At 37.5% G+C, this 22,704-nt stretch overlaps 1 long non-coding RNA gene across 12 annotated transcripts in view; it reads left to right on the forward strand.

The window, feature by feature from the left end:
- Positions 1 to 13,165, forward strand: part of WDFY3-AS2 (WDFY3 antisense RNA 2) — a 43,128-nt gene extending 29,963 nt beyond the window's left edge. For 4 of the 12 annotated variants that reach the window (NR_152771.1, NR_015359.2, NR_152779.1 and 1 more), the window contains 2 exons: positions 8,652 to 8,749; positions 10,429 to 13,165. This is a non-coding gene — a long non-coding RNA (WDFY3 antisense RNA 2). Of the gene's footprint in view, positions 1 to 5,112; positions 5,188 to 8,651; positions 8,750 to 9,895; positions 9,991 to 10,428 lie in introns of all 12 variants that reach the window. The other 8 variants (NR_152772.1, NR_152778.1, NR_152774.1 and 5 more) reach the window with 5 other exon arrangements.
- Positions 13,166 to 22,704: the final 9,539 nt, after the last annotated feature.

The following is a 22,704-nucleotide window of genomic DNA, read 5'->3' on the forward strand; positions in this document are numbered from 1 at the left end:
CCTAATTCCCTCTCTCAACCATGAGACCTCTGCAGTCTTCACAGCACTCAGACCACTAGGAATAAAAACATTTGGCTACTCCATCATGCCTGCTTAAGATGGAAAGTGGCCCTGGGTGAGTCTGAGTCACTCCAGCCCTCCTAGACATTGGGCAGAGGCTTTCTTTACTCAGTGTTTCCATATTGTGTAGGGTTGAGGAACTCTTTTGGACTCAGCGTCTTCCAGGACCAACCAGACCTGAAACAGCACAGATCTCGTATAGTCTGAGATCCCCAATATTTCCAGGGGGATCATCATCATCCTCCCTCTCCTTTAGGAGCTAAAGGGTCTAAGTGGGGGTTCACATGGAAATGGGGAGGTACTTGACTCTCAGAGATGCTCCCAGTGTTTGCTGTGCCTGCTTCCTCTCCATCTCTATAGAGGATACAGAGAGAACAGGGAAAGAGGGACAAGGAGAGGGCCTCTCCTGATAGAAGACTCTTTAGAAGTTTGGAGTCAGGAATATGGTGGTAGGAGACTCATGCTTATTTATATCCCCTGTTAAAGTATTTCTTGTCTTAAACGTAGACTGGGATCTTTGAACTCCAAAACTGAGAACTTGATACTTTTGTTTCTCTGCTTCCACTATGATGCAAAATTGAAGGAAGAAAAGAGTTTCCTGTAGTTGGCTAATAACAATCGACAGTACTATTTAAACTGTTCTAGAAAATACAAACAAAACATTGCAAAGTTCCGTTTTCTACCAGTCTACCATAACCTGAAACCAAAACCATGAATATGGGCAACATGCAAAAAAAATAAATAAAATATGAACTTATCTGTTTTAACAGTTTATTTAAATAAATAATAGACCATCACTAGGTTATATTCTAGGAATGCAATATATATTACTTACATTCTTGTGTAATTTTTCTGTACTCAACAAGGAAGCAATGAGCAAGCCACTATATGGGAAGGTGTAGTACATAAAAATAATTATATTCACTTCAAGGAGCTTAATATCCAGTTGGAGAGACAAACACAAAAGTTGAACAACATAAAAATGTAAATAATTCATGGTTTACATAAGAAATACTTAAAGGTAGTACACTGTTTTTCCAAATGAATTATATAAATATGCACTAGATGTTCATAGAAAGTCCCATCACTTGATTCCAGAGTGGTAGGAAAGACTGTACAAAGAGGGGTAGTATGTGTTTAATCATAAAAGATGGATTGAACTTGTATGTAGTGAGAATATTTCAGGCAGGTAAGCCAACAGGTGAAACTCTGAAGGCAGGAACGCTGAATATATACATGTTCAGTCAACAGTGACCAAACTTTCTGTGATAGAAAAGTGAAATGTTATGGTTTAGAGACATTGTGAGTTAAACTTATACTCTTCAGGAAATGTAAGATACATTATGTATCTTTTTACGTATTCAGCTGGTAAAACAATTTGGAGTATCTTGACCTACCTGAGGAGCATGCTTGTTCTGTGTGAATAGTGAGGTCTATTGGTTGTAAGTTCGGTGTACACTTCCTTCACACGGTTACTACCAGACTGCTTTTAAAGCCCCCATTTACACTCTCTTGACTTTATCCCAAGACTTGGCTGCAAAAACAGTCAGCTCCTCTGCCATCTATTTTACCTTGATTTTCTGTACCCAGTTCCTGGATTCGTTTTTTTTATCCTCTTCGAGATATACTCAGTCAATCTAAAATGGAGATAAAATTGTTGCCAAAATTATGCAGGAGTAAATTCATACATATTGAAGCTTTCACAAATGAAATTGAACCTGGTGAGAAATACTGTGCTACACTGAAAGCATTTTTCTCCCCTCACATACACATGAATAATTTGTTTAATTGAGCTGTGGATTCCTTGGGGCACCAAGACTAAATATTTATAGTTCTTTGTGTACACTGGATGGTTAGTGGGAGCTCCCCACAACAGCTCCAGAGACAGAATTACTTAGCTGGTTCAGATGGGAACACATAGCAACCTTATTTCTCTACCTGGGCCTACTGACAGAAAACTCCCTACCTATTTACAGAATTTGAGCCACTCTCCTCACCTCCCACCTCTTCCACCTCCTGCAGATTGTGTTGTATTCTTCCTTCTACTTCTGATACCTCGTAAAGTCTCTGATCCTACTGCATTACTCTCTCACTTATACAGATCTCACTGTCCAGCTCCTGAATCCAAACAATGCTTGCCTTTTCAAGATCTAATCCATTTTGCCTCAGCTTCCTTTATTCCTTCTAAGAGGGCATTGCAAAAACATCTGCTCCTATTCTGCATCCACTTCACCTCTTTTACCTTTTCTCAGTCTCCAATTTTCTCCTTTGTCATTATTCCAAACATATTTCACTTACTCTCTAAATATTGATTGGTTGGTTAGTTCTGCATAATACAAAAGGGTTTCTGACTCTACTTAAAAAGTAATGAGAATCATGACTTCCCACAGAATAAGTAGAGAGCAGATAAACTCTTGGTGTGACAAACTGAGAAAACAAACACTTTATCTTATTAGATCGTGTCCACAGGGATGCAAATGAAACAAGTGATACATCACCACCATCAACTAAATTACAAACACTGCTTAGGTTTATGACATCCATTATTTTACCTGCAACCATTTTTTTAATTATTGTTTTTGAAATTACTATCTTGGTCAAAAGAGCAGGAAAAATGCTCATCGGATCAATAATGTATCCTTTTAACCTAACCCTAACTCCTAAGAGTGGTTGCAAATATGTGAAAGATTGGTTAATGTAAGGCTCCATCAGGGAATAAGGGGTCAATGGAGCATAAACAGCAGCAGTCAGGGTGCAGCCAAATTACCCTGTAAACCAGTTGCTATTCCATGAACAGATAGGAGGTGGGCTCTAATAATGTTTAAATCACGAAGATCTGGGATCTGCATTCACTTAAGTTCATTTGGTTTCTCTTAGCTGTGGCAGATCGACTTTACTTATGCTTTCTCAATTATATACCTCATCCTTACCATGGCTTCATAGTGGGCAAAGTGGGCTTCCCCACTTGAAAATGTGAGGCATTACTTGCTAAATTTAAAAATAAAATTAAATTGGACCAAGTAGCTGATTTTATGTGGGCATTGTTCCTTTTGTTTAAGCCTCCATTATAAATAGGATTATTATGTTTGTTGTTTTGTGTTTTTTTAGCTCACCAGATTATCAAGTCAGGATCATGGGTTGTTCACCTCTATTTATATAGAGCCTGGAACATTGGTAATGCTTACTATATGTTTGATTAGTGAATAAGTGAGTGGTTATGAATGGAAGAGCTGGGAACAAAGAGGAAATAAGGCATTTTCATGGGCCTATGATGTAACAGAACAGGCAGGAAAGAGCAAAGCATATTTAGAATGAAGACAATTCTCCAGCTTGGTTGAAAGTTGTAATACATGTGTTAGGAAAGGTTAAATGTAGTCAAATTTGAATGCCAGATTGAATGCCAGATTTAGGAATTGGGTATTTATTCTATAGATAGTAGAAAGTTTGAACATTTTGTAACAGGAGAATGACATGGGAGGAATAATGTTTTAGAAAGATTTGTCTTTCTGCAGAATGCAAGAAGGACTGCATTAGGGAGGGATTGGAGGTTGGAAGGTGAGGGATGAGGTTTACATAAAAAGGTAGGTAAGGCCTGAACTAGAGTGGTAGTGCCGTAATAGTAAAATAAAGGTGATGGAAGAAATATTTTTAAGGAAAAATCATTGGACTTTTTGTTATTTTGGAGTTTGGAGAGCAAGGGAGAGCCATGTGAAAGATGACTTTCTGATTCAGAGTCAGAATGACAACAACATCGTTAGTTCTATTACATATATCAGAGAAACCTGGTGCTAGGTGAGTAGGGAGGGTTTGGAAATAGATTATAAAAACTGTAATTTGAAGGAAATTTGGAAATGTATGAGCATAAATATCCACACACAGTTTAAGATAAGGGACTGGCTGGGCACAGTGGCTCACGCTGGTAATCCCAACACTTTGGGAGGTTGAGGTGGACGGATCACTTGAGGTCAGGAGTTTGAGACCAGCCTGGCCAACATAGTGAAACCCCATCTCTACCAAAAAAAAAAAAAAAAAAAAAATTAGTGGACATGGTGGCATGCACCTGAGTCCTAGCTACTCAGGAGGCTGAGGAAGGAGAATCACTTGAACCAGGGAGGTGGAGGTTGCGGTGAGCTGAGATCATGCCACTGCACTCCAGCTCCAGCGACAGGGTGAGACTCCCTCAAAAAAAAAAAAAATGGAGGACTAAAATTCTAAGAATAAAATTGGATCAAAAATAAATATTTGGTAGTAATCTATATGGAAGTGATAACTGATTTTTAGAGTGTGGAAGAATTCTCTAAGAGAGATACTGCAAGAAGAGCAGTAAAAATAAAACTTAAACTTCGGAATTACCTGTTAAATTTGGTCATTGTGGACCAAATGTGTGTGCATTATCCAACGTACATGGACAAATAAGATGATCAAATGAATGTTTACAATTATTTTCCACATTACCCAAACAAGTTAATTTGGTTGTGACTTCATTAAATTAATGTCTTAAACTAGAGTGATGGGACCAAGGATAATTAAAGGCACCACATCCATCCTGCAGCATTTCCAAAGTGGGAGGTATTTTGAAGCCTTAACATAGATAGTATCCTTATTTATTGCTTCATCTGCTCCTATACATATTTCATATGAACATATCAGAGTAACCTTCTTTGAAAAGACTTATTATTTGCCATGTTTTGGCATTCCATGATATTATAATGTCAGGACATCTTAATGTCAATTTTTTTTAAGTTTTAGAAACAATAAAACTTCTATACGAGTAACATTAAGCGGATCATCTCACATAATTCTTTTACTTATCTTACATCTCAATACCCTACAGGTTTATAACTCTCACTGAAATGTTTATTAGATACCATTAACTAACAGTTATATAATGTTTTACAATGTGCTTTTACATAATGTTCAATTTGATGTTCATAGTAAATCTGTCAGCATGGCTTTATTATTGTTATAATTACCATCTTAAAGATGAATAAAATGAAGCTCAGAGAGGTTAAGTAACTTTCCTAAGTGTTTTTTTTTCTTTTTATTCGAAAGGTTTATGGGACTCCCCAGTACTCTCCATGTAGAGTCTAATGTAGAATCCAGGAGTGCACAGAAAAGTCACTGGATGTAAGAAACAATGATAACCTCTATTTTTACATTAAAAAAATAAGATGCAAGTTAAATTTACTAATATTTAATGTACAGACTGACTCTCAAAGATCAAACAGTGTCTATGGTCATGCTCCCCATCCTATTTGGTACAGGAGAGGTCTGGAAGAGATGTCTAAGAGCTCCAAAATGCAAGCAGCCTCACAGAGTTACCCTCTCTTGTTTACTCACTCTCAGTGTTGTGTCATAAGCAGTTCAAATGAGCCTAGATACAAGGATTTATAGATTGTAGGACTATTTTTAATGGCTACTTCATTTTTGCTTTAATAATTATATTTGATTGTTAATGAAAATGACCACTTCCACATATATTGAATATTGAATTTATATTTCCTTATATTTCCTGTGTCCCATTCATCTATCTAGTACAAAAACCATAACAGAAAAGCTTATTTTAGATTGTAAAATTTCTAAATTATCTTTTAAACCAAATATGCAAAGATATTCCTGCTTATTCATGGTCTGATGAGTTGTCAGTGTGATGCTTTATATTCTTATACATGTGATCCAATTCTTTCTTTCTTTCTTTCTTTCTTTCTTTCTTTCTTTCTTTCTTTCTTTCTTTCTTTCTTTCTTTCTTTTCTTTTCTTTTTTTTGGAGATGGAGTCTTGCTCTGTTGCCCACGCTGGAGTGCAATGGCATGATCTCAGCTCACTGCAACCTCCACCTCCCAGGTTCAAGAGATTCTCTGGCCTCAGCCTCCTGAGTAGCTGGGATTACAGGCATCCACCACCATGCCCAGCTAATTTTTTTGTATTTTTAGTAGAGATGGGGTTTCGCCATGTTGGCCACGCTGGTCTTGAACGCCTGACCTCAAGTGATCCATCCGCCTCAGCGTCCCAAAGTGCTGAGATTACATGCTTGAACAACTGTGCCTGGCCTCATATGATCCATTTCTGACTAAACTACTCCTCACAAAATATACAAATGACATACATAGATTCCTGTACAGAAAATGCTGATTGAAACTAACACTAGGCTGGGTGCAGTGGATCACACCTGTAATCCCAGCACTTTGGGTGGCAGAAGTGGGCAGATCACAGGAGGCCAGGATTTTGAGACCAGCCTGGGCAACATGGCGAAACCCTGTCTCTACTAAAAATACAAAAAGTAGCTGGGTGTGGTGGTGTATGTCTGTAATCCCAGCTACTTGTGGGGCTGAGGCATGAGAATCACTTGAATCTGGGAGGTGGAGGTTACAGTAAGCTGAGATTGCTCCACTGAACTTCAGCCTAGGCAACAGAGTAAGACTCTGTGTCACCAAAAAAAAAAAAAAAAAAAAAAAAAAAAGAGGCTGGGCATGGTGGCTCACACCTGTAATCCCAGCACTTTGGGAGGCCAAGGCAGGCGGATCACTGGGTCAGGAGTTTAAGATCAGCCTGGCCAACATGGTGAAACCCCATCTCTACTAAAAAATACAAAAATTAACAGGATATGGTGGCACAGGCCTGTAGTCCCAGCTACTTGGGAGGCTGAGGCAGGAGAATTGCTTGAACGTGGGAGGTGGAGGTTGCATTGAGCCAAGACCATGCCATTGCACTCTAACCTGGGCAACAGAGTGAGACTCCAGCTCAAAAAGCAAGCAAACAAACAAAACCCCAAAAAGAAACTAAGACTAACAATGTTTAAGCAAACAAATGAAAAAATAGCAGACCCACACGTCTATCACTCAAAATGTTATTTTTATTTTATTTTTTTTTTTGAGATGGAGTTTCACTCTTGTTCCCCAGGCTGGAGTGCAATGGTGCAATCTTGGCTCACCACAACCTCTGCCTCCCGGGTTCAAGCGATTCTCCTGACTCAGCCTCCCAAGTGGGGTCGTGGCATGTTGTCCAGGCTGGATTTGAACTCCTGGGCTTATGCAATCTTCTGATCCCAGCCTCTTGGGTAGCTGGGACTACAGGCATGCACCATAATACCTGGCCAAAAGGTAAGATTTTCATCAGCAATATTACAGGATGAAATAATGATCTGAACAACAGTTGGACAAAAACAAATTTTTAGCTATCAAGAAGACTATTTAAAAATATATTGGCCGGGCACGGTGGCTCACGCCTGTAATCCCAGCACTTTGGGAGGCCGAGAAGGGCAAATGACGAGGTCAGGAGTTCGAGACCAGCCTGACCAACGTGGTGAAACCCCGTCTCTACTAAAAATACAAATATTAGTCAGGTGTGGTGGCACGCACCTGTAATCCCAGCTACTCAGGAGGCTAAGGTAGGAGAATAGTGTGAACCCAGGCGGCGGAGCTTGCAGTGAGTGGAGATTGAGCCACTGCACTCCAGCCTGGGTGACAGAGCGAGACTCCGTCTCAAAAAAAAAAAAAAAAAATATATATATATATATTTACATCCACTATCATTATTCATAAATATCATGTGAGCTGTATATGCATCCTTTGAGATATTGGCTAAGGATAATCAAGCTATTTTAACACTAAATATCTAAAACATGAAGATGAACTCTATAATTGATTCAGCAATGTTTGAAGTCATACTCAATCCAGTACTTTACAAAATTTTACTAAAAATTAATGAAAACGTTGAGTGCTTCCTTTAACATTTCTTATTTAATTGCAAGAGGCAAAAAGTGGTTATTTGCCCTGTCACAGTAGGCTAAAGTAATATACTCAATATAACTGCAAAACAACAGGCACTCCTTTTACAGCAAAAAGTGTTAGAAGTTGCAAAATGTAACTTAGAACAAATTTCAAATTAAAGGAGGGCATGCTATTCATAAAAGTATCAATATTTTTCCAAAGTCTAAGTGTGTGGTATTTGCTGGATTTTATTTCAATAATGAAGTCCATCAAGTACTACTTTTTGTGTAAGCCACTAAAGAATACGAGCCAGAAAAGATACCTCTCAATAATAAACAACTTCTTTAATGAAAACAATGTTTTGTATATAACCAAGTTGCATTGCCTGGAATCTTAAAAAGTACTCCTAGGTCACAGATGGATTTCAGAGCTAGTACAATGCAAATTGACTCACTCCATCATATGTGAACACATAAAGCAAAACTGAAGTCACACATGTACAAAATGCTGATGGGTGTCATTGACATGGTTAATTTCATAAAATTAAAAAACTTAAACCTACAATACAAGCTCTAAACATTGCAATCCATGTGGCATGATCATGAAAATCTTTTGTATTAATACTACAGTGAAGCTGATTGGTTATCTTGTATCAAAGACATTAAAGGAGTTGAGTTTATAGATGGGTATGTATTTTTCTTGAGTAACAAAAGAGATAAGTATTCCTTTTCTGATATACTGCAATAGTAATAAGAGGTGGGGCCTTCAGGAGGTGATTAAGTAATGAGGGCAGTGCTCTCATGAATGGGATTATGACCTTATAAAAGAGGTGTAAGGAAGCTTTACATTTCTTTTTTGTCCTTTTAACCTTCTACCATTTTAGGACACAGCAAGAGGCAACATTTTGGAAGCAGAGGGCAACTCTCACTGGAAACCAAATCTCCTGGCACCTTGATCTTGGATTTTACAGCCTCCAGAACTGTGAGAAAATAAATTTCTGTTCTTTATAAATTACTCAATCTCATGTACTTTGCTATAGCAGCAGGAACAAACTAAGATTATTTGAAATATATTATACATGGTTGGGCACGGTGGCTCATGCTTGCAATCCCAGTACTTTGGGAGGCTGAGGTGGGTGGTAGATCACTTGAGGTCAGGAGTTCAACACCAGCCTGGCCAACATGGTGGAATCCCATCTCTACTAAAAAATACAAAAAATTAGCCAGGCATGGTGGCATGTGCCTGTAATCCCAGCTACTTGGGAGGCTGAGGCATGAGAATCGCTTGAACTTGGGAGGGGGAGGTTGCAGTGAGCCGAGATCCATTACTGTACTCCAGTCTGGGGTGACAGAGTGAGACTCCCTTTCAAAAAAAAAAAAAAAAAAGAAAATATATTACACAGGATCAATGGGACAATGGCTTATATTTTTTCTCTTTAATTGCCATTTTAAAAATAAAAGTTCAGTGCCCTAATTATAATTACCCTCAATGGTTCCTGGTGAGTTCTTACTAATTTTTGTGTTTTGGCTCCCTTTCTTTCTTTTGGAATATCATATGACTCATGCATTTTTACAAAATAATTTTCAATCAATTGAAGTCATTATTGTTTTTATGCTTAAATTATTCCATCTTTGGCCAAATTAGCTCTTATGTCCTTTTGACATAATCCCATTACCTTTTTCATTTTTTACAGATAAGGTCTTTCTATGTTGACCAGGTTAGTCTCTAACTTGACCTCTCAAAGTGCTGGAATTGCAGGTCTGAGCCACCATGCCCAACCTCCCATTACAGTTTGATCACTATCAAACTTTTGTCTTTTTTACAACAAGATATCCAAGACTCATCTTATCTATTTCCTGACCCAAACCTCAATCTGGCCCTTTTTCTAAGGAGCCCTAGTTTGTTTTATTGGCGAGTGATATTTAGAGATCACAATCTGGTACTAGGTTTAATGATTGCTTTTAGACTTTTTCAGTAAATAGAATTAGGAAATACAATTAGACTTTTTAACTAATTGTAGAAAATTTTAAACACACACAACAATAGTAAGAATAGCATAATAAATCCTCATGTGACAGCATCCAATTTTAAGAGAAATCTATGCTTTGCTCATCTTGTTTTATCTAGTTCTCACACTTCCTTTTGAAAGCTATTAAAAATCTATGGCAGAAAAATGGTCAAGGAATAGGAACTACAACTTCATAAATGAGGAACCAGAAAAGGTAAAAAAAAAAAAAAAAACTGAACAGATAATCAAATTTCACAGTAATTCGTTTTCAAATAAAAAATATACAGATTAAAATATGATTTCCCCATTGTTGACTAGAATGCATAAAAATGGGGCCAAGCATGGTGGCTCATGCCTGCAATCCCAGCACGTTGGGGGTCCAAGGTGGGAGAATCACTTGAGCCCAGGAGTTCAAGACCAGCCTGGGCAATATGAGCAAGAAACATAAATTAAAAAATAAAAATGGAAGTTTTGTGCAATGCTAAAGGGAATATAAATGGGTATAAGCTTTCTGGACAACAATTTTAAAAATTACATAAGAAATCTTTAAAAATATTCTTCTCTCTGATGTAACAAATAGACTCTACAATTCAGTGACTTAAATAATACAGAAGTTTACTTCTTTCTGTCTGCTCTATCTCTCTGTGTCCAGGATAGCTGGGAGGCATTACATAGTCATGTGCGAGGTCAAAACTGAGTCACCACCACAACCAAGTTCCAGCTGGCAAGAAGAGGAAAAATAACACAGAGGAGTTATGACCAGTGTTGTAAGGATCTGGCCTAGAAATGGCATGCATCTCTTCCACTAATATCCTATTGGTAAAAATGTAGTCACATGGGCACACCACCTATCTGCATGGAAGGCTGGGAAATGTTGATCGGTAGGGCAGCCATATGTGTAGGAAGGAGAAAACAGAATTTGGTGGATACCTAGTAGTCTCTGCCATACCCTTGACCAGAAATTTTTCTTCTAAAGAATTTAATTCTAAAAGTTATAGACATTCCCAAAGATATACCTGCAAGCATCACAGCTTTGTGTATAATTGCAAAAGTTGAAATCAACATGAATGCCCAAAATAGTGAATTATTTAAACAGATTATTACCCATATTATGAAGAAATACTCTGCAACTCTTAAAAATAAATGTAATGTGCCAGGCGCAATGGGATATGCCTGCAGGCCCAGCTACACGGGAGGCCAAGGCAGGAGGATCACTTGAAATCAAGAGTTCAAGTCTAGCCTAGACAACATAGTGAGACTTGGTCTCTAAAAAAGAAAAAAAAAAATAAAACTGATGTAATGAATATATAATTACAACAAAAGAGGTCTAACACTATAGTAGAAAAGTTTGGGGCACTCATCCCATTCATAATTATTTTACATTTAAATTACTGTTCCTACTTAAGTGGTGAGCTTGGTAACCATTTTCATATCAGGTGATACTGCTGCAGTAATCATAGCTGTTTGAATCAGGAATAATCCCAATCACATTTTCTCTTAATCGTTTATTATACTGGGCATTGGGGTTGCAAGATAATGCACAGTCCGAGCTCAATACATGTCTTCATGTACCTGTATGTAAATCCCACTTTTATTCTAAAATTCTTTGAATATTTTGTTTCTTGGAACCCAATGATCCTAAGAAAATTATGTACTTTTACCTGAAAATTAAAACCAATATTTATAAAAAGTGTATATGCAGTATGATACCACTTTTAAAAAAAGATAAATTTATAGAAAAAAGTTTATATGACTGACAACAATGTCTCTGAGTGGTAGGATTACAGTTAATTTTTATTTTCTTCATTCTACTTATCTTTATTTTCTGAACTTTCTACAATGAACATGTTTTATTTTTACTTTTGTTAAAATAAATAACATTTAATTTGACGGAAAATTCTAAAAATCAACATTTGGTAACTTAAATATTCATTGGCACATGATTCTGTGCCTGTTTCTGGGGGTCATTCCCATGAGAAGAGCAGGTAGAACTTATGAGAATAGAGCAGTCGAAATATTATAGGTTTCATATTTTACGGCTTTATTGAAAACATTGATATATTGAATATTCATAAATTTTAATTTAACTTTCTTTTATAATCCTTAATGTGAGGCTAAGGTATAAGGAGAAAGGAGATTGGTAAGGAAGTGTGATACATATTGAATCAGGTGTCAAGGTACCATTTGTGCCTGGATCTGACCAATAGACCAAGGTAAAAATCTCAAAGAATGAGACTTGTAATGAGAATGCCACAAACTTGAATACCTTATGCACAAAACACAAACATTGTTATGCATAATGTACATGAACCCTGAAACAAAGATAATGATTTGGACCACCCAACTGAAGTGGCATGTTATGTTTTTGGCATGAACAAAAGAAACAAGAGAGAAAAAAATCAAAATAATTAAAATAAATTGTTAGAGAAAAGTTACTTTAAAAATAGCTATAACGCTTTGCAATTTCAGTAACAGTTCTGCCTCTGATGCAATGTAAAACATGTATTAGACATTCAGGCTCCACAATAAATTTTAATGAGCACTACAAATTTAGAATATATAAAAATATCAGTAACCTATGAATTCATCAACATAACTCACTTTTCAGTTAAGTTAGGCTGAGTTGAAATTCTACTAAGTTTTCCCATATTCTTGATAAAGGCTAAATTTGAAATAATTTATTTAGATGACTAATTGGCAATTTGATAGTAGTTACATTTTATGTAACACTTGATATAATAACCCAAATTAATTAGCTCAATATTATCTTCTGTGGTTTATTGATCCAAAAGTACATATTTGTTATGTAAACTTATACTATGTAAACTTGAATTAGTTTTTTGCTTCCTTGAATTAATAAAGCCCATTAATGCAAATCTAAGCCTTCATAGACTTTTCCAATCCTTAGTTAAATATTAAAAACTGAGTATTGTAGTTATTTGCTAGGTATAAAAGGTGACTCAGAGTAGAGAGTAAGATGTCAGCAAATAGACAATAAGATGTCAGCAAAAGTGCCTCAAATTTTAACTGCGTCAAGTTAAGGGCATTGTAAATACTGTAGTTTTATGTAGCTTGCAACTTCTACTGAAATGAGTTTAATCATGTCTTTCACATAGCTGAAGTTTGTGTCAAGATTTAAGCTGATTTTCTCATTCTTATCAAAGTCTCACCTGGGGGTAGGGAGGGGTAGGCCTACCTCCCACCTCTATACTATCATTTTAGGAACAGACAGGCATAAATCTGTTCATATGGTAGAACACATGATGTTAGAGTATATTTTGTTGAATGCTATGGAATATTAATATAATTAATTCTAAAATATCACCTAAAATATGTCAACTGAAGATCTGACTGTACTAAATATGAAAAATAAAGCAGCACATACTTTCTCTACTGTTTTCCTGGCCATTCATTGTCACAAGGCTTAGCCAGTCCCTGACACCCAATACGCTACCAATAAGCCACCATCATCTTTTCCTGGGGTTTTGCATTCACTGGTTGTGTTACCTAGTATTGCCTATGATAATCGTTAGTCATCATTAAGGAACTAAGTATTATGTACTCCTTGCCTTGGAATACTCTATTTGGAGTTGTGCAAGTGAGAAGCCCCAAATTTATAAGTCAATATCCTCATTCAGAGCTGCCACCCTTGTGACTTTAAATTGGAGCTCCTGTTTTACACCACTGTGTATCTCTATTTCTGGCCATCACTTTTTTAATACACATGACTTTCCTCTCCCAGTTTCCAGACAGGGCTCTTTGAATGTATGTCAAACTCAGTTACTCCAGAGAAAAAACTGCCTTTCCCTTCAAAGTGCTCCCTCGAGGTTCCTTAGTGAGTTTTGTACCTTCTATTTTAAAAGAGGCTTTCCCAAACTGTGCCATTTATCAATTTATTGCCCATCAGTCTCCACCTACCATTCTCTGCTCTGCTTTGTGAACTGAAGAGGGACCCTGTAAACATTTATTTATTGCCAGCTGGTACAACATTAGACTCTGTCAAGAAAGGGTGCTGGAGGGCCACTTCAAGTCCACTGCAAGAGAAAGGGGCTGCTCCTGATGGCCAGGTTTGCTGTTTCCTTCAGCAAGGCTGCTGGCGGATGTGCATGTCAGAGCTCTCATAGCTCTCACCTCAGTGACACTTGACAACCAGCATAGGGCCCACCAAACCCTCCAAGAAGTTTGGTCACCAGGTGAGCCACTTCCTGTGAACCCCTCCAGCATATACCTTCTGATAAGTTTCTATGCTGTTGGCAGTCTGGTGTTCCTATAGCAAGCACACTCTCCCCAACAAGGCATGAATCTACATTGGTTGAAGGTGGGACAGTTGGTTTCTTCTACATTCTTGGTTCCATCATTGTTCATTCTTCCTCAGTCCCAGAAGTAGCTGCTTTTTGCATTTGTTATCTCTGTATTGATTAGAGTTCCTTTTTATTATGATTAATGTAATACTCCTTTATATTAAATTTTTCCTTTTCAAATAACTGGTGTGGATCAAAGGCATCCTGAATCTGGTATGATCTATCTCACTGTTTTCAGATACTGTAGTAAGAGGCATAAACTTTATGTAATTTTAGTAGATTTGCAGTTGCAAAATATTTGAGATACATTTATGGCAGGAAAGGTTGAAGTTAGAAAATTATGCAATTGAGTAACATTCTTATGTAAATTGTGAAAAGACTACCATTATCCCGCTTTAGCAGCATAATATCTTTGTTGAGCTCTCATGACTATCCTGTCCTGTAAGAGTAAGCTTAGAGAATCACTGAAACCAATGAACAAAATGTTGCTTAATGGAACGATTATTGAGTTTATAAAAATATATTTGGTTAGAGAATAATGTTTTGTCTTCAGACTTTCAGTTATGGGTGACCCAACTTCTCTAAAATCATTTTTCCATACTATTTCTGTTTGTCAATTTGATTTTCTTTGTTTCTACCATTCATATTTAAAATACAGCATTATCTCTAATTTATTCCAGCATTATTAAATATCTACTATTTGCATGGCACTGGCTGGGGAATGGAAGAGAATACATCTTTTCTGCTCTCAAGGAGCAAAAAAATGTAGCTATAGAAAAATTGCTCAATGTAAATAACTAATACTTTTAATAATGTGACTAATGTTCAGAAATAATGTATCATCAAAATTTCTTACAGTTCATTAGTTTGTAAATTTAATGTAAATGTTGAGAATATTATTCTTGTCATAATGTAAAGCCACGTTCTTTTACTTTAATCTCTGGGGAAAAAAATCACAAATTATTATTATTTTAAGACAAGGTGTGCGACAGTTGAATAAAAAGTTGAGTGCATTAATTTCTTTAATTAAATCTAAGCTATAATTCAAATGAACTTTGGAAAACACTAACTTTAGTCTGATTAGTTATTAGTAGTTAACTGAGTATCTACAAAAACCATACTTTCATTCCCAAAACTGACAGTCATTCTCCTTTGTCCCATGATAGAAATATGAAGATTATTCCACAATACCCTCCGTAGACAGAAAACTTTATAAACCCACTAATGCCAAAGGGCAAGGTGATAATCCCCTAACGGAAAAACAGGAAGCCATGCTGTTCTTTTCTTGAATGCCACCTTTGCCGTCACCATAGTGCTGTGATCTAGGGTAAGGCAGTTTGTTGTTGTTGTTGTTGTTGTTTTAAATAACAGAACATTCAGATAAATATCCTAAAGCAGTATAAAATTGGAAGACTAGTGTCTCTACTTTAATTAATTGCACATGCTTCTATGTTCTACATAAATCAAAGCCTTCCTTTAAGACCCGTTCTTACCTTCATTCACGATTTGCTCTCCTCTCACAGTCTTCTGGCCTCGGTCCCCTTGTCCAGTATTCTCCTTTCTTGTGTCCTGACCTGGGGAGTCTCCAGCTCCCTCCAAGTGACAGAGAATCCCGAGTGCTGGCCCCAGAGGCTTTCATGTCTCTTATCAGTTCTCCTGTTGCAGACTCCAGGTGGCAAGGGCTTTACTTCTGCCTGAGAGCCTCCTGGTCTGAAGAGGGGTAGGAGGAAGCCTTGTCCTCCTGAGCTGCAGTTGAGTTGGTGGGTGCTTTCACTTTGCTTCAGGCTGTCCACCAACAATGGCTGAAGCATTCTTCCTGAGTGTGCCTAAACACAGAAATACTTTATCTTTTTTTTTTAAAAAAAAGTTTTATTTAAAACATTTTATTTAATATTTTATTTATTTATTTATTTATTTTGGAGACAGAGTCTCTCTCTGTCACCCAGGCTGGAGTGCAGTGGTGTGATCTTGGCTCACTGCAACCTCTGCCTCCCGGGTTCAAGCAATTCTCCTGCCTCAGCCTCCCAAGTAGCTGGGACTACAGGCACATGCCACCACACCCGGCTAATTTTTTGTATTTTAGTAGAGACGGGGTTTCACCGTGTTGCCCAGGCTGGTCTCGAACTCCTGAGCTCAGGCAAGCCACCTGCCTTGGCCTTCCAAAGTGCTAGGATTACAGGCATGAGCCACTGCACCCAGCGTACTTTATCTATCTTATCTTTTTTCTGAAAATCAATCTATTCTCAACATGAAGAATTTAGATTTTTCCTATTAAAATGACTCCAGTACTAAGCTTTAGGGAACAGTAATGTTCACTATTATCTTTGTGCTAAGGGAATAAGCCCTTGGAAGGCCCAGATGGTGTATTATTTATGTAGGTATTTAATAATACTGGACTTGAGTCAGAAACAAAACCAGTGTTTTAAGCCCAGTTGATTGGAAGGATAATATAACTTTTCTCCTGATAGTGAGAGATGAATTTCAGTTCATCTTGCCCCCAAAATATTGACTTCATGCAACATGTACAATGTATTTCCCAAGACAGAAAACTGGGACTCAAAGCTCTCTCTTGTGAAATCTAATTTACCATCATGTCCAGTTAATTCTACCTCATAGCTATATCTCTTGACTCTGTTATCTTCTTTCCAAACCCTTTCTTACACTATAGGGCCTACAGAATAAATTCAAGTTTGGTAGCATTGCATACAAAGCACTTTATTATCGGACCCTTGCGTACATTGTGGCCTCATTTTTAGCTGCCCCCATTTGTGGTCATGAAAATGCAGCACTCAGGTTTCCTACTGCAGAGAGTGTAATTGACTGATGGCCCCAGATAATGTCCTCTGGATCCACTCTTGTGTTCTTGTAGACGCCATGATTCCCACAGGGTTTTCTCAGCCAGTCTGAGTACAACAGAGATTCTAATGCAGGCTTATTTTTATAAGACAGTATGCCTTAAACAGGTGATTCTGGCTGGAGGACTCCGCTGAACTCAGCCTGGCTAAGATTTTCTTTTTCTTTTCTTTCTTTCTTTTTTTTTTTTCCAAAATTAGAGAGACTTGCTCTGTCACCTAGGCTGGAGCATAGTGACATAATCTTGGCTCGCTATAACCTCCAGCTCCTGGGCTCAAGTGATTCTCTTGCTTCAGCCTCCCGTGTAGCTGAAAATACAGGAACGCACAACCACACCCAGATAATTTTTTATTTTTATTTTTTGTAGAGATGGGATATCGCTATTTTGCCCAGGCTGGTCTTGAACTCCTGGCCTCAAGCAATACTCCTACCTTGGCCTCCCAAAATGTTGGGGTTACAGGCATGAGCCATAGCATCTGGCTTGCCTAAGATTTTCTTTTTTCTTTAACTTTTTTTTAAAATTATACTTTAAGTTTTAGGGTACATGTGCATAACGTGCAGGTTTGTTACATATGTATACGTGTGCCATGTGGGTGTGCTGCACCCATTAACTCGTCATTTAGCAGTAGGTATATCTCCTAATGCTATCCCTCCCTCCTCCTCCCACCCCATGACAGGCCCCGGTGTGTGATGTTCCCCTTCTTGTGTCCAAGTGTTCTCATTGTTCAATTCCCACTTATGAGTGAGAACATGTGGTGTTTGGTTGTTTGTCCTTGTGATAGTTTGCTGAGAATGATGGTTTCCAGCTTCATCCATGTCCCTACAAAGGCCATGAACTCATCTTTCTTCATGGCTGCATAGTATTCCATGGTGTATATGTGCCACATTTTCTTAATCCAGTCTATCATTGTTGGACATTTGGGTTGGTTCCAAGTCTTTGCTATTGTGAATAGTGCCGCAATAAACATACATGTGCGTGTGTCTTTATAGCAGCATGATTTATAATCCTTTGGGTATATACCCAGTAATGGGATGGCTGGGTCAAATGGTATTTCTAGTTCTAGATCCTTGAGGAATCGCCACACTGTCTTCCACAATGGTTGAACTAGTTTACAGTCCCACCAACAGTGTCAAAGTGTTCCTATTTCTCCACATCCTCTCCAGCACCTGTTGTTTCCTGACTTTTTAATGATTGCCATTCTAACTGGTGTGAGATGGTATCTCATCATGGTTTTGATTTGCATTTCTCTGATGGCCAGTGACGATGAGCATTTTTGCGTGTGTCTTTTGGCTGCATAAATGTCTTCTTTTGAGAAGTGTCTGTTCATATCCTTTGCCCACTTGTTGATGGGGTTGTTCGTTTTTTTCTTGTAAATTTGCTTGAGTTCTTTGTAGATGCTGGATATTAGCCCTTTGTCAGATGGATAGATTGCAAACATTTTCTCCCATTCTGTAGGTTGCCTGTTCACTCTGATGGTAGTTTCTTTTGCTGTGCATAAGCTCTTTAGTTTAATTAGATCCCATTTGTCAATTTTGGCTTTTGTTGCCATTGCTTTTGGTGTTTTAGACATGAAGTCCTTGCCCATGCCTATGTCCTGAATGGTATTGCCTACGTTTTCTTCTAGGGTTTTTATGGTTTTAGGTCTAACATTTAAGTCTTTAATCCATCTTGCATTAATTTTTGTGTAAGGTGTAAGGAAGGGATCCTGCATGCTCAGTCATTAGTGATCTTCTTGGGCAACTTCAGGTATTGTGTTGCTCCATTGTAACTGTGAATGGATATTCTTTTTGGACAAGCCTGAAAAGAATGATTGCCAATGAATTACACCTCTCAGGAATGAGGGTTTGGATAAATCACCATGACCTACTCAGTTGACAGCTGAGGGAGAGAGAAATTTAAAATGGATAATAGAGAAAGGAGAGGATGAGGAGCAGTTGTGGCACTGAGACTAACTGCAGTGACAATTCTTCCCACCAGCCTCTCTCTTCAAAGCTTCCTGTCAGAAAGAAAGGTTCAATGCTAAGTAGAGAAGTATATCTGTATGTCGCAAGGCATGGACTTCGGTGGCCATAAAAATGCACCTGTCAAATCTCCTGCTGCATGGAGAAAAATCCACTAAGAACTCTAGATGCTGCACTTCTGGACCTGGTCCTGTGTTCACACTAGCCCACAGTTCCCACAGGCTGCTGCCAGCTAATGACTGAGCATGGTGGAGATACGAATGTGGGCCCATCGTTATGAGATGCAAGACCCCCTTAACAGGTGACTTTGACTTGTGGACTCCCTGTGGGAATGGCTGAGTCTTTCTTAGAGCTGCTGTCTGAGACTCTACTTACTTCCCCCTCTCCTTCACAGGTGTCAGATCTGCATCATGGTCTGAAAACTCTTCCCACTTTCTCTGGCTCTCTTTCCTTTATCCACCATTGCAGTTCCCCCATCCCCAAATACATCTCCTGCATGTCTATTCCTATCTTGCGTCTGCTTTTCTAGGGACCCAAACTAACACATTCCCACGTATAGCTCCTCTTCTACATAACCCTTATGCAAAAATTAATTAGATTTTCCTGAACCTGTCGTGTTCTTTCTCTTCTTGGATCTTTGAAGAAGTAATTTTCTCTGCTGAAACACCTTGACATCTCATATCCAACTGGCAAATTCGTCATCGTTTCTCAATATATAACTTCAGTTCTTTAACTACTTGTAAGTATTTGTACAATTTCATTGCAAGCATAGACTTTATCTTGTATTGCTTGGTATCTGTCAGACTCTGGCACTATGGTAAACACACAATAAGTACTTTGTAAAGTCTTTTTTTTATCGATTCTATTAAACTGTAGAAGTAAATATATCTTAATTTTTAGTAAAATCATTACTTGCATTTATTTTACCAGAAGTCTATTTCCCAAGGGAAAAGCAAGTGAAATTTTCTTGTATGCTTGAGCCTAATGGAGAATATTCAATTTTCCAAAGTAAGAGTAACATTTATATAGTGTTTACAGAGTAAGAATGCACTTAAGTATACATTTACATCATTTTCAATGACAGGCATGGAATCCCACAATTAGGCTATCTTCTAAATTATTTAAGCTGGACACATAGGTTGTTTCTAATGTTTTGCTAACACAGATAATGTTACAATAAACATCCTTTAAAAGTGTTTACTTACATTTATTATTATTGCTATAGGCTTCTTGGGCTTTCATGCTACCACACTCTGTTGATTTTCCTATTATTATTCTGACTGTTTCTTCTAGTTTTATTCTGCTGGCTCCTCTTCACCTGCTTGACACCATTCATATACCTGAGTTCTCATATATAGGTGTGCTTTATGTTCATTCTATATATTCTCCATATAAGGATCCTGACCCACCCCCGATTCCCTGCCAGTCATGCCCTCAATTACCATCTTTTCACTAAATCCATTGTTTGACCAAATATCTTCCTGAATGACAGATGCTCTTATCTTACTATAGATATTGTATTATTTACATTCTTTGATTGCAAGCAACAGAAACTATGGCTCACTTAATCAAGAGGCAAGTTATTGGCAGGATGTTAGAATTCACAGAACTTGGAACTAGGCAAGAATTAAGAGGATAAATGATGCAATTATTCTGTAGCAAGAACTCTGCTACATTTTAGTCTCTCCATTAAAGATTCACATGCTTGAATGGTATCTGATTGCCCTCCCTAGGATCACCTGCCTCCTCTGTAATTAGTGAGGCAGGTTTTTGATGACGATTGTAATGGATTTTGTCTACTGATGTAGAGAAAACCCCAGATGTTATAAGAAGTAAGAAATTGATGTTAGGTAGTCAGAAACCAAACCAAACTAAACCTAAACCAAAATAACAAATTAACAGATGTTAATTTCTTTCCCTAGAGCACTTAAAATTCCATCTTCTTAAAAGGGAAGTCATAGTTTCCCCCAATAAACCCTCTTCTCTTCTACAGTCTTATATTTCACTAAACGGTATCCCTACTTATCCAGAGACTTAAGCCAGAAGCCTGGAAGTTCTTCTTGACGCCTTCCTCTTTATTACCCCCTGCTTCTTGATCAATCATTAATTCTATCATTCCCACCATCTAAATAACTCCCCGATCCATCTTTGTCTCTCATTTCCACTGCCACCACCCTAGGTAGGCCAAGTAATTGTTTTTCATCTCAATAACCAAAAGTCTCCAAGTGGCATATTCTGTTATTCTCTAATCATACTGCAATTGGAGTAATTTTATAAATGAAAATACAATTCCATCAGAACTTCTCTAGAAAGGTTGTATTAATTTTTATTTAATAGCAATGTATATGGGCCTCTAAGTCCCCATATTCTTTGGATTACTGTGTATTATTAAAAAAAAAACTTTGCCAAGTAGATTAGTAAAGACTTCCGTCAATTGTTTTAATATAAATTTCTCTAATTATTAGTGAGATTGATGTTTTTCTCATATAATTCTTGATTAGCTATACTACTTCTTTTGTGTCTTGCATCTTCATGCCCTTTGTCTGATTATTTGTTGCAATATTTACATTTGTATTGATTTAGAATAGTTTTGGGGGTATTTATATTTTTATTGACTTAGGATAGTTTTTTTCTTTTTTAAGAATATCAACTATTAAGCTGGGTGCAGTGGTGTATGCCTGTGGTCCCAGCTACTCAGGAGACTGAGGTGGGAGGGTTCCTTGAGCCCAGGAGTTTTAGTCCAGTCTGGGCAACATAGAGAGACCCAGTCCCTAGGGAAAAAAAAAAAAAGAATACTAACTCCTTCTTGGCCATATTTGTTGCAAATAATTCCCTTTTTTGACTTTTAGTACTATTTTCTGGGCAAAAAGTTCTTATATTTTATATAGTAAAAAATTTAAGCGTTAAATCTGTCAATTTTGCTTTACGCATTGTGCTTTTGATATCATGTTTTAATATCATGGTAAGAAAGGCCAACCTACTCACAAGATTATGTACAAATTCAGTATGTTTTTCTTTGATCTTTTTAGGGTTTCAATTTTTACGTTAAATTCTGTCCCATCTGGCTATTTGGAGTGTGTCTGTGTGTTTCTGGTTTGGTGTAGAGAACTCATTTTTTTTTTTTTTTAAAGAGTAACTATTGAGATGCTTTAACTGAATTTATGAAAGAATACATTGTTTCTTCAGAGTTGAAATATATGGCCACTTTTATCATATACACAATTGTTACATATTATTCACTTGTTTCCGAATAATCAAAAATTCCAAAGTATTATTCAACCGTATTATTCATTTTATTTCTCAGATTTGTATCTGCATAATCTTTGGATGCTTTTTAATGAAGATTTTAGCAAGAATTTGTTATAGGAGATTTTATTTTATTTATTTTTTTTGAGATCGGGCCTTGTTTTGTTGCCCAGGCTGGAGTGCACCGACCTCCTTGGTGTTTCTAGAACAGTCCAGGCATGCTTTCACTTCTGCCTGGAACATACTTATCTCAGGTACCCACATAGCTGGATCCCTTATCATCTTAATTATTCGCTTGATCATGGCTTGCTGCAGCTTCAACCTCCTAGCCTCAGCCTTAAGTAGGTGGGATTACAGATGCATGCCACCACATTCGTCTAATTAAAAAAAAAATTGTTTTGGGGGATGGAGCCTGACTTCATTACCCAAGCTGGTTTCAAACTTCTGGGCTCAGGGATCCTCCCACCTTGGTCTCCCAAAATGCTGGGATTATAGGAAATTTTAAAAGATAGATAATCAAAATGTTTTTAGTGATGGCAGGATAGTGGTAGTAGGTACATAAATTG

The sequence above is a fragment of the Homo sapiens genome, chromosome 4 (genome assembly GCF_000001405.40).
Source record: "Homo sapiens chromosome 4, GRCh38.p14 Primary Assembly".
In the NCBI taxonomy this organism is placed as follows: domain Eukaryota; kingdom Metazoa; phylum Chordata; class Mammalia; order Primates; family Hominidae; genus Homo; species Homo sapiens.